Below are 13,581 nucleotides of genomic sequence, written 5' to 3' on the forward strand. Positions count from 1 at the left end.
ACCTGCAGGTCAGGACTCCAGTCTGTTCACTGCCAGGCCCTGCAGCTGATTCCCACCTACCAGCCTGTGCCTCTGACTTAGCTCCCTGGTTGGCCAGAAGCACTCCTGCCGGGGCCCCAGGACGAGGGTTTGCTGCCCTAGTGGGGCAGCCCTGGCAAGGTGACAGTAGATCCTGCTGGCCTCCAGGCCAGGTGAATGTTCCCCCCATATCATCTGTAGGGGCTAGTGGCCCCTCTGCTGCCCATGAGCCCCGGCCAGGCCCCCATTAGCACAGGGATTCCCGGCACCCGCCTGGTGCCCGTCCCGCCCCTGACCCGGAGCTGCCCTCAGCAGCCCTCTTTGTCCTTAGGCCACGAATGGCGGCGGCAGCGCCTTCAGCGACTACTCGTCCTCAGTCCCCTCCACCCCCAGCATCAGCCAGCGGGAGCTGCGCATCGAGACCATCGCTGCCTCCTCCACCCCCACACCCATCCGAAAGCAGTCCAAGCGGCGCTCCAACATCTTCACGGTACGTGACTGCCCTCCTCCCCCGCCCAGCTGCCTTTGCTGCACAGGCAGGGCTGAGCGCCGAGCTCCCAGCCAGGAGGGGCGTGGGCAGCCCCAAGTCAGGAAGACGGTACCTGCAGTCTCTCCCTCAGATACACACGGCTCCCGAGGGTCCTTGCCGGTGCCCTCAGAGTCTTCCAGACTGTTCTCTGCACCCACAAGGGGTTTCCAGTAGCGGCCCTTACCCTGTCCCCACAGTCCTCCCTGCCCTCTGCCGCACACACTCACCCTCCCCGCCGCCTTCCTCTCTCCTAGGCCCCTTTAGGGTGTCTGTGAGCTTGAAAGTATCCTTGGACTCACTTGGCCTAACTCCCCTGACCCCCTTTGATTCAACAGCTAATGAACCGGCGGCCGGAAGGCTGTTTGCCCAAGGCGACACAGAGGGTTAGCTGGCCCAGCTAGAGTCAGAGCCCAGGCCTCCCCGTCGCCTTCCGGCTCTTTTTCCGTTACCCCACTGCCGAGGGGAAAATTCATGCTTTCCACCCACCGCTGTGATTGGTTTAACAAAGGCTTAGCCATCTTTTCCTGGGCTTCACCACGCTGCCTCGTTCCTCCCTCTCAGGTTTGTCCTGTCTCCTTGTGAGCTCCTCACTCACCCCTCACAAACCTCACACCCCACACCTGGGGGCTGTTGTGCTGGCCCGGCTGAGGGTGGCCTCTGGCTCTCAGGCCCCAGGGCCTGCTGTCTCTCCACTCCCAATGTGCGACACACAGTGCCCATCCAAACCCTAATCCTCCAGCCGGGCTTGGCTGGATGTTCCAGGAGTCTTGGGCCAGACAAAGGTGGGTGAACCCCCGTGTGGGTTGTCACGAGAGCGCCCGCCCCTCCGCGTCACTCCATGCGCCTCTTTCCGAGAGCAGGGCTTGGCTCTCAGCCTGGGCCCGAGTGCGGCCAGCCAGGCCAGATCTCCGGACCCTGCCCGGACAGAGCTGGCACTTCCAAGCCCTGCTCACTCATCCTCGCCTCTGCCTGCCCAGCTCACTTCTCCCTCCCGGCTGCCTGCCTCTGTCCCGAGCCCGCCACCTGCCCTCGCGGCCATCCATGCTAACAGAGACTCTGTGCTGACGGTCCGCCACACATTGCAGCTGCCCGGCCCTGACCCTGCCTAAATGTGCAGCTTCTCCTTTCTATCCATGGCCATTGAGACATTAGAGCGTGGGGGGGGCCGCCTGCTCGAGCCCACACCTGCTGCTGCTGCTGCTGCGGGACCCTTAGGTGCCTCTGTCCACGGTGCCTACTGCCAGGGCCTGGGCACCCTGCTCCCTGGCATCGTGCCTCAGTCATCCGCTGCCTCAGTTCCATTCTTAATCTCCCCTTCCCCTCGTTGGCAAGCTCTGTAGCAACCCCAGGGCACCCCCTGCCTTTCCCTGCCCTGCTACCCTCTCCTCCGCCCACGCCCAGTCCCCGGCCTCCTCCCTTGCGCCCCGTGCTTCCTGCCATCCTGTGCTCTCTGCTGCCTGCCTCGACTCTGCTGCCCTCCCTCCTGGCTGCTCACGGCACGGCCTTCCCTCTGGCGCTTCCATTCTCTCCATCCTCACAGCGGCGACCTTATATTTTCCTTCCATTGTTTCTGTGGTGACCTCACTTGCACCATTGTCCCTGAGACGGCCTCAAGACGCGTCCGTCTCTGTGGGTGTATCTCGGGACCTCCCCTCTCATCATTGCTGTTGGGGCCTCCCCTCTTCTCCCTCATCGTCCTCCCCAGCAGCGACATGCTTGCTCGAGGGCGAGCCCCTGTGTCCTGCCTGCTCTGTGGCTAGTGACCCCCTACTGGACATGGTTGTGCTGTCCCCAGTCTCTCCTGTGACTTCATGTGCTCATTTCGTTGCTGCTCTTGCCCCAGTTCCTGTCCGCATGGGGAGGTGCCCCTCTGGGCTCCCAGGGGTCCTCTGGTGGTCGGGGCCTCTTGGCTCACAATCTGGCTGGGGTGGGCTGCACCCCACTCCCCCCAAACCGGCTCTTCTGTCTGGGGACCCGGTGGCAGCAGTCCCATCCACCTTCCTCCTCCCTGGGCCAAAGGGGCAGAGGGCTGTGGCGGTCTGGGCCGTGGAGCCCAGGAGGGGATGGGGCGGTGCCGCCTGTGGAGCTGCTGGGTGGCACTTTGCTCTCCGGCGGCTCTTTTGCCCGGTTCTCCTTGTTCCCTCTGGCCTTGCTTTCTCCCACGCTGCAGTTGTGGCCCTGTGTCCCCTCGCTGTGCCCTTGGCTCCTGGCAGCCTGGGAGAACGGGAGGGATGGGGCCTGGGCTGCCGAGTGGCGAACATACCATTCCGTGCTGAGGTGGACGCTTGGCCTGTGTCTGCCCAGCAGGTGCCGCTGCCGCCCGCCGCCGCCGCCGCCTCCTCCTCCTCCTGGTCCTCCTCCTTCTCCTCCTCCTCCTTGTCCTTCTCCTCTTCCTCGTCCTTCTCCTCCTCCTCCTCCTCCTCTTCATCCCGCTGCCGCCGCTCCCCAGGCGCCTGGGTCTCTGCCCTCACCGGTGCTGACCGACTTGTGCGGGGCTTGAGTATAACTTGCCAAAATCTTTATTCTTTCGATATTTGCAGATATGTGCCACTGTTTCCAACTTTTCATCAACAAAAAGGCCTTTCCAACTCCTTCCAAATTAGAAGACCAGTTGGTGACACACAGCACCTCTGGACATGCCCCCTGTGCGGGGCCGGAGGCGGGCCGGGCCCTGGGACTGCTCTCAGATGAGAAGCGGCCGCCGAGCTCCCCACTCCAGAGACCCACGGGAACCTTTGTAACTAACCCCACCCCCAGGGAAGGCTAGGAGCGCCGGAGCCCGCGCTGGGGGCTGCCGGGGACCAGGCCCGGCCGGACGCTGCAGGCTCGCTGCATGGAGAAGAAGGCAGCTCGGCCCCACGCCCGGCGCTGGCCAGCGCGACGAGGCCCAGAGGGGCGGGGGAGTCCAAGCCCGCCCGGCCCGGCTGCTCCTGGGGGGCGCTTTCCTGCCCCTCCCCTCCTCTGCTCCTTCCTGCATGGACCTCTGCCGTTCCTGCTCCTGCTCCGGAAGCCGCCGCCGCCGCCGCGCTTGCCTTGCCCCCTCTTTTTGGCCTCCCCCTATTTCCTAGGATCCGCATTCGGGTGGACTCTGCCCCAGGAGCTTGACAGGGTGCAGGGCCTCTTCTGGCCTCTCTCCTCTCTCTGTCCATCCACTGTGCCCCTTGGGCCACGCCGACGCGCTCGGTGCCACGTGCCGTGTGGTGTCTGTGCCGCAGACGGGCCATCTGCCCGCTCACTTGTGGACTTTGCGCTCCCGGTTGTCGCGCCCTGTGCTCCCGACCAGCAGCCCCACCGTCCACCTCCTCGCCCCCGCTTCTCTTACGCCCCCGCCCCGGGCGTGCTCCTCGCGCCCTCGGCCTCTCTGTCCTTGCTCTTTTGTAAGGGGCGGGCCCGGCTCAGTGACCTGTGCTGCTCTGTATGGTGCCGTGTGTAAGAATAAACCCGTTGGAATACTCGTGGTCTCAGTTCCTTCCCGTCCCGCCGCCCCGGCCCGACCCACTGCTAGGGCTGCCCAGGAGGAGGGAGGCAGGAGGGAGGCCGGGAAGTCCAGGTGGGCAGCTCTCGGCAGACCCTGGGCCTCTTTAACACGCCTCTTGTTTTCTCTTCCAGTCTCGGAAGGGTGCTGACCTGGACCGGGAGAAGAAGGCTGCCGAGTGCAAGGTGGACAGCATCGGGAGCGGCCGCGCCATCCCCATCAAGCAGGTCAGCGCCTCCCTTCCCGTGTGCTCCAGGGCTCAGAATGAGGCCCAGGAATGTGGCGCTTCCCAGGGCCTCTTCTCAGGCCTCTGTGATGGGGGAGATGGCATCAGAGGCCAGCACCACCCTCCTAGGCGGAGTCCTTAACAAGGGACTGGCTCTCCAGTGAGAAGCCACCTTCTCTGCGCCGCCACCTTCAGGCCACGAGCTCTGCCTGTACCTTCTGATCACCACCGGAGGGCAGCAGAGAGCTACCTGCCGTGTTCAGCCAGGCGCTCAGCCTGTCCCGCTGGTTCTGGAGTTGGGTCTGGAGAGGGTTGAGTGGCTCTCTAAGGAAAATGAGCAACCCGAGAAGCCTGCGTGGAAGGGGATACTGAGGGCTAGTCCAGCGCTAGGTCTGTTGGCATGGTTTTGTTAATAAGGGCCTCTGTTCGTCTTTAAAGAAAAAAGTAGACTACCTCCTCACCTCTCCCACCTCCTTTCTAGTCAGTCCTGGGGGCCCTGGGCCTGCCTTCTTCCACACCTCCGGTCTTGGATTCCTGCAGTGGACACGGCATTGCCCCACGGAGGGCGTCTCTTTGATGTGTTGAGCCAGAGCAGCTGGGGTGGATGGGGAGGCATGTCTTTGGTGTGTGGGCAAGAGCCTGAGGAGCTGGGGTGCCCATAAGAACGGGGGCACTTGGCACAGAATTTTTTGGGATCTGGTGGTTGGAGAGGCCATGTACATAGGCAGCCGTACTGCCAGGTTTTGACCACAGAGGAGGCTCACGTGGCCAGAGCCCCTGAGCCTGGCGTGGCAAGGCCTGTGGTCAGGTGTGGCTCTCCTGGGCTGGGACTCATGGGCAGTGTGACTGCTTGTGGGGAGGGGCCAGTCGGTGTGACCAGGATTCATTCGTTAAGGCTAGGGGTTTCTGACCCCCAGCCAAAGTCCATTTAGAATGAAGAGTTCCAAGCAGAGTAGTGTCCCAGAGGGCAGGGTCCCACAGGGTCCCATGCCGTGATCCGTATTGTTTCCACTCACCCCTCTCTTGAAATGTTCGTTGCATTTATGTCTGGCAGTGACCACCCCAGTTGGGCCAGACTACTGGAGGGCCCCCTGGAAAGCCAAGAGCACAGTGACAGCAGCCAGAGGCTTCCCTGTTCGTTCGCGGAGTGCGTGTGTATGTGTGTCTTTGTGCAGGACAGACCCTGCACAAACCTGTTGCTCATTTGATCCCCTCTCTCCGGGCACCTCCTTTGTGGGGGACCCTGCTAGGTGACGCCCTCTGCTTTGGGCGTAGGCTCCTCAGCTCCCTGCTTGGAGATGGGGAGTGCAAGGGAAGGCGTGGGCGGTGAGTGGGTGTGTAGACACACTTCACCGAATTCACTACGAAAATGGGACCACTTTCCTTGGGGTCCTACGTGCTCCCTTTCCTCACTGGTCGTCAGGGGCTGACTTATTTGTTCCCTGAATCCCTCACATGGGAAGGAAGGAGACATGTTGGGTTGGGGAGGAAGCCCTGTGAACTTGAACCTGGGGTTCTGGTCCAGTCTTAGAGTTAGTAGGTCACTTGGGTGTTTTCACCCCTAAATCTCAGGGACGCTCAGTAGGAAGGCCCTCTAGCTGCACAGCCCAGAGTGGTGCCGCCAGCTGGGGGCAGGTGTCAGAGGCCTGTGCCTGATGCAGTGACACCCTTTAGGGGGTGCCCGCTGCTTCCCGTTCTGTAACGATCGCTCGCTAGGGGCGGGGCGCGTCCGTTCTCTTCTTCCAGCCTGGTGGCCATTCCTGGCGCTTCCCCGCTGCCGCCGGTCCAGCCCCGCCAGATCTGCAGCCCCTCCTTGCTCCGCCCTCCTGTCCCGTTCTCCCGGTTCTATTCCTTCCCCTCCCCCCAGCTCCTGCTGGGAGTGGAGATTGCATTTCAGTTGCCATTTGCATTCCCAATCAATCCGGACTCCGCAATTAAGTCGGCTGGCGGAGCTGGGAGGGAGGCGGCGGCGGGAACGGGTCCTCTGGGGGCTGTCGCCTCCGCGCCTCTGCGCCGTTCCCATTCCGCCCCAGATTGCTTCCTGCTCCGCCGTGCGCAGCCGGCCGGCCGGGGAGGGAGCAGGAACCCCTGTAGCTTCTTTGGAGAGGGAGTGGGAAGAGGCACGGGCTAGGCGGGTTTCCTCCTGTCCGCTTCCCGGGAGCGGGCGGGTGGGTGGGGTGGGGCGGGGCTGAGCGGCCCGGTCGTTCCGCCCGCGCCCCCGGCTAACGAGCGTCATTACAGCGGCTCCCTCGCCTCCGCCTGGGGAGGGCGTTGCCGAGGACGGGGGCGTTCAGGGTGGAGGAGGGACCCCCTCCCCGATCACATTCTCTGCGAGGAGGGAGGAGCCACACGTGTCTGGGTCGGAAAGGAGGTGCGGAGACCCCTTCCCGCCCTGACTGTCGGAGAAACCGCGCGCAGTGCAGGCCTTGAGGGGCTCCACCTTCCAGGCCGCTGGAGATGGGAGCAGAGCGGAGCAGAGCAGAGCGGAGCGGGGCGGGGCGGGGCCGGCCGTGGAGTCTCCTGCTGAAGGCTGGGAGAGGCTGGGAGAGGCTGGGAGAGGCTGGGAGAGGCTGGGAGAGGGAAGCACGCCTAGTGGGGTGAGGGGAGTCGGGACGGGGGCGGGGAGCCGGGTCCATCCCTCACACTTGGTTATTTCTTTGGTTTGTGTGCTGGGGGCGGGGCGGGGGGTATTGGGGATGACTCCAAGGCATCTCCAGAGCCTGAGGGACTTAGAGCCTTCGAGCACGCTAGTCCCATGGCTGGTCGCAGCGGGAGGGGGAACAGCTGACTGCTTCTGAGCTCTCAGTGCACCTGGCCCCTGGCCAGTGACAGGAATACCACACCCAGAGGCAGGTCACCAAGGCCCAGCCTACCTGGAAGACTCCTTCGCAGACCAAGAGGCAGGGCCCGCTTGCCTTGTGGAAGGTCCCCTTAGTGCCGCTAGTTTTCAGAAACCCCTTTTGAGGATAGGGTCTCCCAGGCCAAGGGGGCCAGGTAGCAGGATGTGTCTGCACATGGCCATGTACTTCAACTCCCAGCCCGCATGCTCGCACCTCCAGCAATGGCATTTGGCCCTGGTGTGGCCGGAGGAGGAGCAGCAAGAATGTGAAACGTGCTGGAAAGTCAGCAATTGATGTCACAGCTGCTGGGGCCGCTGGAAGTGGGTGCCCTTTCTGGCCTCCCCCTCACCTCCTGTTGGGGAGGGAGAGGTCCAGGAAACGGGAATCTCTTATCCTAATGGCATCCATCTAGGAGTTAGCCTTCTATTAGGAAGAACTTAGAGGAGGAAGGTGCAGTTGAATCCAGTATTTACCCCCCACCCTTGGGCGTCAGGACCACGAGCTGCAGACTAGGGACTGCCGTTTCCTTGTGCCTGCATCTCTTAGTCCCTGTGTTGTTGGCTGTCTTCTGGCGGGGCCCTCCATTCCTAAAGGAGATGCCATCGCGGGGCCTCTTCCCTCTCTGGGCGCCCCCTCCTCTAAGTATGGGCAGAGTCCGCTTTTTCAAGTCTCCCTGCTGGGGGTGCTGCCCCTTCCGCTCTCCCAGCTGAGGGTGAGCCCCACACTCAGCCCCCAGTTTGTGGATCTACCTGTGCCCCTCTTCCCCCTATGCTATTTTTGCCTTGAAGTCTCCAGGGAGCACTGCCTCTTCTCAGCCCTCTTGAGTTGGGGATTTTGGAGGATGGGGGGCCATGGATGGTGATGCTGGTCCTGGATCTGCCCCTGGTCTCCATCGTGGCGCTCCCTGGTCCTGAATGACCCCCGCCTCCCATTCCCAGCTGTTGCCTTGTGTGTGTTGTTTAAGGGAGAGAAGCTGAGCCAGTGAGAGCATCTTTAGAGGGTTCTCACTAGAGGAGTAGGTTTCTCCTGGGAAGGAGGCCACAGCTGTGGTTGAGCATCGTCTCCTTCTATCTTCCTAGTGGGGTCTACCTCCTGCATTCGTCATCTGACAGCCAGGGTTTTAGGGGGCTTTTCCCCAGTTCTTCCAACATATGTTTACTGGGTGTCAGCTGTGGCCCAGGCCCTGTCCCCGGGGCAGGCTCCTTGTTGTGGCACTTTCGCTCATTCTTCTAGCCATCCAGCCTCTGCGTTCAGCGAGTCTCACTGGCTTACGCGGGAAGTGTGGTTGCTGGGAGGGAAGGCTGGGTCTTCCTGCTGCCTGGCTTGGTGGTCTGGGGGATGCTTGGGACAATTAGGGGATTTTCTGCCCTCTTATGGAGCTACCACAGGGGGTGGAAGGCCAGGAACTTAGCAAAATCTCTGCTGTTTTGACCCTTGGAGCCTCCTGGGGAGGAGCATCACTGATGGCCACTATCTACACCCCTGAGCGTCTACTCCTGGCCGTCTATACCCCTGACTGTCTACACCTCCGATCATCTACACCCGACGGTCTACACCCCTGACAGGCTTCTCCTGTCGAGGTGGCTCCACACACTGGGGAGGGAAGACGCCCACCTGCCGGAACAGCGGTCCAGCTGCTTCCTGATGGATGATGGGGGAGAGCCGAGTTCTGGGGAAGGACTGGTCTAAGGGGCCTTCCCAAGTTCACCGATAGGTCCTTAAAGGCTGCTTTGCTCAAAGTGGCCCAGGAGAAGCGGGGAGGGGGGAGGGCATTGCCTGACGACATCGTGACCTCCTCATGCCCTATGACCTAGGGGGCTGGCTCCTGGTTTCTGATCAGACCTCTGTTCTCAGGGGATCCTGCTAAAGCGGAGCGGCAAGTCCCTGAACAAGGAGTGGAAGAAGAAGTATGTGACGCTCTGTGACAACGGGCTGCTCACCTATCACCCCAGCCTGCATGTGAGTCTGGGAGGAGGAGCCTCCTGGGGGAGTATGGGGAGGGGGTGGAGGGAGGATAACAGAATGCGGGTAGCAGACAGGCTCCAGGATGGACGGGAAGCAGACCTTAGTGATTTCAAATGGCTCATCCCTGGAGAAGGAACCTCACACTGGCAGCTTGGGACATGCACAAGACCCGGCTGGCCCCTCCCTTGCCCTCTGGGCGGTCAAGCTGTATATCCGACTTTCCAGTTGTTTAAGGTGGGGGATTCAGCCACTTCCACAGAATTTCTGGTCAGGGATGCCGATGTTGCCCAGCAGTTGTGTTGAGCTGGGCAGTGCCAGTGGGGAGCTGTGGGCTTCTGGGCCTGGGATGGTGGAGGACCAGGGCTGTTGAGAATGGGCTAGAGCCTCGGACAGTCCTCCTGGGAGGAGAGCGAGGGTGGCCTTGTCTGTGGTTAGGAGGGTCTGGTGGCCACGTGGCCTGTGTCCCAGCTGGGGGGTGTTGTGGTGACTGGAGTGGCCCCTGTGCAGCTCCCCCACCCTTCTTTCCTCCCCTCCCCTCACCGCGTGGCTCCAGCACACAGCTGTCACCGGAATTCATCTCTGTCACCACCCCACTGTGGGGCTAATGAGTTCTCCTGTGAAGCCCCTCCAGCACAGCGCGTGCCCCCCACTGCCCCGCCCCGGCCCAGAAGCTCTGGGCCTGCCTCTGAATCCGCCCAAGGTGTCAGGAAGGCCTGACCCAAGAGGTGCAGGGTCCCTGTGTCCTGGCCATCACCCAGGCCCGAGAGCACCGCCCAGACAGCCCTGCGGAGAAAACTCGCAGAGAAGGCCTGGCCCTCCTGGGCTTCTGGGTATCTGACCATCCTCAGGCAATGGTCCTCCCCCTCAGCTCAGGGGACAATGCCAGTCAGCCGCTCGCCCTTCCTAACACGCCTCACTCCACAGGGCAGGGCCTGGTACCTGGGAGACTGGAGGAGGGAGCACCCACATTCAGTGCAGCCAGCTCCTGAGCTCCCGCCCGACCCCCCCACCTCCCCACCGCGGGCACAGACCTTGTCCCACTCGCGAGTCCTTGCGAGGCAATGAGAGGCAGCCAGGCCTGCTGGGAAGAGCGCCTACCACAGAGGCAGAAAGTATCGTAGGAGGCCAAAGGGCGCTCTGCGGGTACCAGGCTTTGTTACTGTGTACACAGCCCTACACTAAAGGAAGGGCCGGAAGACAAGGGGAGCCCCAGTATTTCCCTGTTGAAAGGCTCCAAGGCTTTCAGGGCCACTCACAGACAGGAAGTCCCAGGTAGGAGTGCTGAGGCCAGGAGACTGCACCAGCGTCTTCTAAGTCCCAGCCTGAGGTGTTTCACGGCCGACACCAGGCAGCTTAGCCGTGCCCTCTGCTCATGTCCAGCTGCCCACCTCGGTGGCGGAGCTTGGGAATGGGCCTGTTTGAAATGTCCATTTCCCCACCTGTGTGGAGCTGCCCTTCCCCTTCCCCCTTTGCCCAGTTCTTACCTGCTCCTTTCTGTTTTATGTGACCCTAGCTTGGTGCGCTGTCTGTGCCCTCTGCCAACAGTGGAGGCAGCGAGGATGAAGAGGAGTGGCAAGGGGTGTCTTGGATGTGGAAGAAAGTGTGGGTTGTGGGGTTGGGCTGGGTTTTGGTTTCAGTAGAGGAAACACAGCCAGCTGGAGAGCAGAGCTCAGGGGGGTTGGTGGCTTTTCAGAGTCACCCGGCTGGTGGCTGAGCTAAGACTTGGACCCATGACTTTGGCTCTGAGCATTACCCAGATTTTTCTGCACTTGCCAAGAGCACCTCCCTCTGGGGCTGGCTGAGAGAGTCATGTAAGAGTTAATAGCAGGGTGAGTGTTGTCAAGTAAGGAGGGAGTTGGGCTTGCCTGCCTGGGGCTAGGGTGGGTGTCTGAGCCCCCAGGAGTGCCCCTCCATGCCGCACTTGTTGCACTGTGCGAGTCTTAGAATTCACCCTGCAAGGCCAGGCCTGGAAGTCCTGGCATCCAGATCCTGTCACAGGCCCCGAAGCATACTGGGCTACACACGGTGCAAAAGCACGAGTGGAGGCAGGGCCGGTTGTGGCTCCGTGCGCTCACAGCTCTCCGTGGAGCTCTGGCAGAGCCCGCTTCACTTTATGTCACGCCGCCACCACCCCCGCCACACTTTCCCTCCCTCCGGGGCTGCCACCTCACCTCCTTCATCTCCCCTGGCCGCCACCTTCCAGCCTGAGCATGCTCTTCAGTTGCCAGCAATGAGCAGGCCACCTCCCTACCTGTGAGCAGCCGCTTCTCTCTGGGGCTCTTCAAACCCTAAACCCTGGCAGGAAGCATGTCGAGGAAGGAGCTCCGGCAACTCCAGAGGCTCCGACAGAACTCTGGGCTGAGCCTGGCTCTCCTCTCCAGCAAGGGTCTCGCCTGAGCCCCAAGGGCATCGGGACTGGTGACTCACCTATGGATGGGGGCCGGGGAGACAGGACACACAGAAGATGAGTTCGTGGGCCAGCCCTGAGCCCCGCGCCCGATTCTCGCCGGCCCAAGAGAGCCCGCCGCAGCCTCCCCCATTTTGCAGCCAGCGGAGCCATTCACACAATCACCTTCTGTTAATTCTATCTGCAACATCAATTAAATTGTTTGTAGAAACTAATTGAATGTGGCTTAATCACACATCTTAATAGCTTTCCACGCTCTGAACTCGTTGTTAATTCCAGTAATAAAACGAGATGAGAACGCTGGCTGGGTAATTAGCGAGGAGGCTGGGGAAGAAATTGCTGTTTGATGGTGGGTAATAAAGGCAGCCGTGGTGACCGCTCTCCTGAGCAGCCGCCACCGCCACCATGCTCCCCGTTCTGCTGACGGAGGGAAACGCTGCTGCCTGTCTGAGGTTCCCATCCCTGCTGATGCTCCTCAAGCTTCTCTCCACTGTCCTCTGGGCCCAGGCTCCAGGGTTGCCCGGGCACGAGGGCGTGGAATCCGGGGCTGTGGGTGCCGGCCTGCCCTGGGAATGTAGAGTGTCTGGCTGGTGCCGTCAGAGATGCTGAAGTTGGGCCGTCCTTTCCCCCGAGGCCAGTTTCTGGCACCTTAGCTCTGAACAGAGTCCCCCCTGCAACTCTTCTTCTTGGCATGGGGTCAGCTTTTCCTGCCATGTCCCAGCCTGGGCATCCCAGGGCTGTCGTGGGGCCTGGAAACTGTTGCAGCTGCTGTGACCTCCTTGTGAACTAGAGCAGCCCAAGCCCCTCCCCTAAGGAGGGACTGCAGCTGTGCCTTTGGCCCAGCCAGCTGTTGACTGCTGTCTGTAGTAGCCGATCTAAGATGTGATTGTGTACAGGGACTGCCGACGGGGACCAGGGACGGGCAGCTGAGTCTGTGGGATGCAAGTGGAGAGGGGGTGAGGCAGTGAAGTCATTGAGTGGACACTGGGCTGAAAGCAAGACAGAGGGCCGGCGGGGCCAGTGGCCTGCAGCCCAGGGTGCTGGAGAAGGATGGATGGAGGTACGCTGGGATGGCAGGAGGGGCTCCTGGGTCTGCTTCCTTCCCAGCCACCTTGGCAAGGCCCCAAGCTGTGGGCAGAGTCCTTCTCCGCCAAGTGTGGGCCGAGCGGTTGTCAAAGAGGTCCTGCCTGGGTGGGAGGCTGCTCACTGATTCCTCGGTTATGTCGTTCTGTGGTTCTGGGACAATGAACAAGACTTTAGCACATGTGTGCTCAGGCCAGGCACTTGGTACTGTCCCTCACAGAGGACTGGGGTGGCAGGAGGGCATAGGTAAGCCCAGGGCTGCCAGGAGCAGCAGTGGCAGGGAGTGTGGGCTCCTTCCTGAACACACCTTCTAAATGTGGCTCCTCTGCTCTGGTTGGTTAGTCCCCTGGTCCTCTTCCTGAAGGGCTGTCTGCCTGGGAAGATGCCATAGCCACCTTGAGAATGAAGGCGACTGCAGGCTCGGCGAGACCCACAGGGCTGGACCTGGGCAGGGAGGCCGCGTGCTGATGCCAGGCCTTTCCACCATTCCCCTGATGGCACGGAGCTGTGGGTGACGTCCAGCCCAGCCACAGAAGTGCAGGCGGAGGCTGGTGTTTGGCGCCTCTTTCCTCCGTCTAGCTGGTAACCTCCTCACCTTCTCTTAGTGACCTGGGACCAGGTGACTCCTTGTCTACCTGATGTCTTCATTATTCCTGCCAGAGGGAGCCCTGGTGAGACTTCCTGCCCTTCCACTGCTTCCCAAGAGGCAGCAGGCCCCCTGGGCTCTTTTCAGCAGAGGACAGTGTCAGTTTTCCCTGGAGCTAACGGGGTGAGAAGATAGAGCCAGCCTGGCGGGAAAGCAGTCTGATGGCCAGTGCGGTAAAGGTGAAGGCCGGGCTCCTCAGGGTAGGAGGAGCGCGTCTGGGAAGGCTCGTCGCACGGCCGCCCTTAGGATGCAGATATTCCAGAGGTGCTCACAGAGGGGAAAGGAGGAGCGGCTTTATGTCCAATCAATGTAATTCAGTCAGAAGTTAAATCTGGCACCACCACCCAGGTTCTTCTCTCAGGAAGGGGCATAGACCCATGGAGAGGAATTTG

General features: G+C 61.5%; 1 protein-coding gene across 23 annotated transcripts in view, besides 2 other annotated features; it reads left to right on the forward strand.

Moving 5' to 3' along the window:
• The window catches only part of AGAP3 (ArfGAP with GTPase domain, ankyrin repeat and PH domain 3), a 58,568-nt gene that overhangs the window by 33,771 nt on the left and 11,216 nt on the right, over positions 1–13,581 (forward strand). For 11 of the 23 annotated variants that reach the window (XR_007059984.1, NM_001281300.2, NM_031946.7 and 8 more), the window contains exons 8-10: positions 350–508; positions 4,157–4,249; positions 8,943–9,047. Coding sequence is in view for 22 of the 23 variants with exons in the window: in NM_001281300.2 (NP_001268229.1) it covers positions 350–508; positions 4,157–4,249; positions 8,943–9,047 (357 nt within the window). In the remaining variant the exon portion in view is untranslated. Of the gene's footprint in view, positions 1–349; positions 509–882; positions 1,109–3,087; positions 4,002–4,156; positions 4,250–8,942; positions 9,048–10,566; positions 11,676–13,581 lie in introns of those variants that run through there. The other 12 variants (NM_001042535.4, XM_047419873.1, NM_001308305.2 and 9 more) reach the window with 6 other exon arrangements.
• Positions 12,217–12,718: an enhancer, noted in NCBI's record as "H3K4me1 hESC enhancer chr7:150828941-150829442 (GRCh37/hg19 assembly coordinates)". NCBI's record gives its function as "activates a minimal SCP1, AML or CMV promoter by ChIP-STARR-seq in primed H9 embryonic stem cells {active_cell/tissue: H9 hESC(primed)}" and the evidence as "EXISTENCE:reporter gene assay evidence [ECO:0000049][PMID:30033119]".
• Positions 12,719–13,218: an enhancer, noted in NCBI's record as "H3K4me1 hESC enhancer chr7:150829443-150829942 (GRCh37/hg19 assembly coordinates)". NCBI's record gives its function as "activates a minimal SCP1, AML or CMV promoter by ChIP-STARR-seq in primed H9 embryonic stem cells {active_cell/tissue: H9 hESC(primed)}" and the evidence as "EXISTENCE:reporter gene assay evidence [ECO:0000049][PMID:30033119]".

The sequence above is a fragment of the Homo sapiens genome, chromosome 7, assembly GCF_000001405.40.
Source record: "Homo sapiens chromosome 7, GRCh38.p14 Primary Assembly".
Classification (NCBI taxonomy): Eukaryota; Metazoa; Chordata; class Mammalia; order Primates; family Hominidae; genus Homo; species Homo sapiens.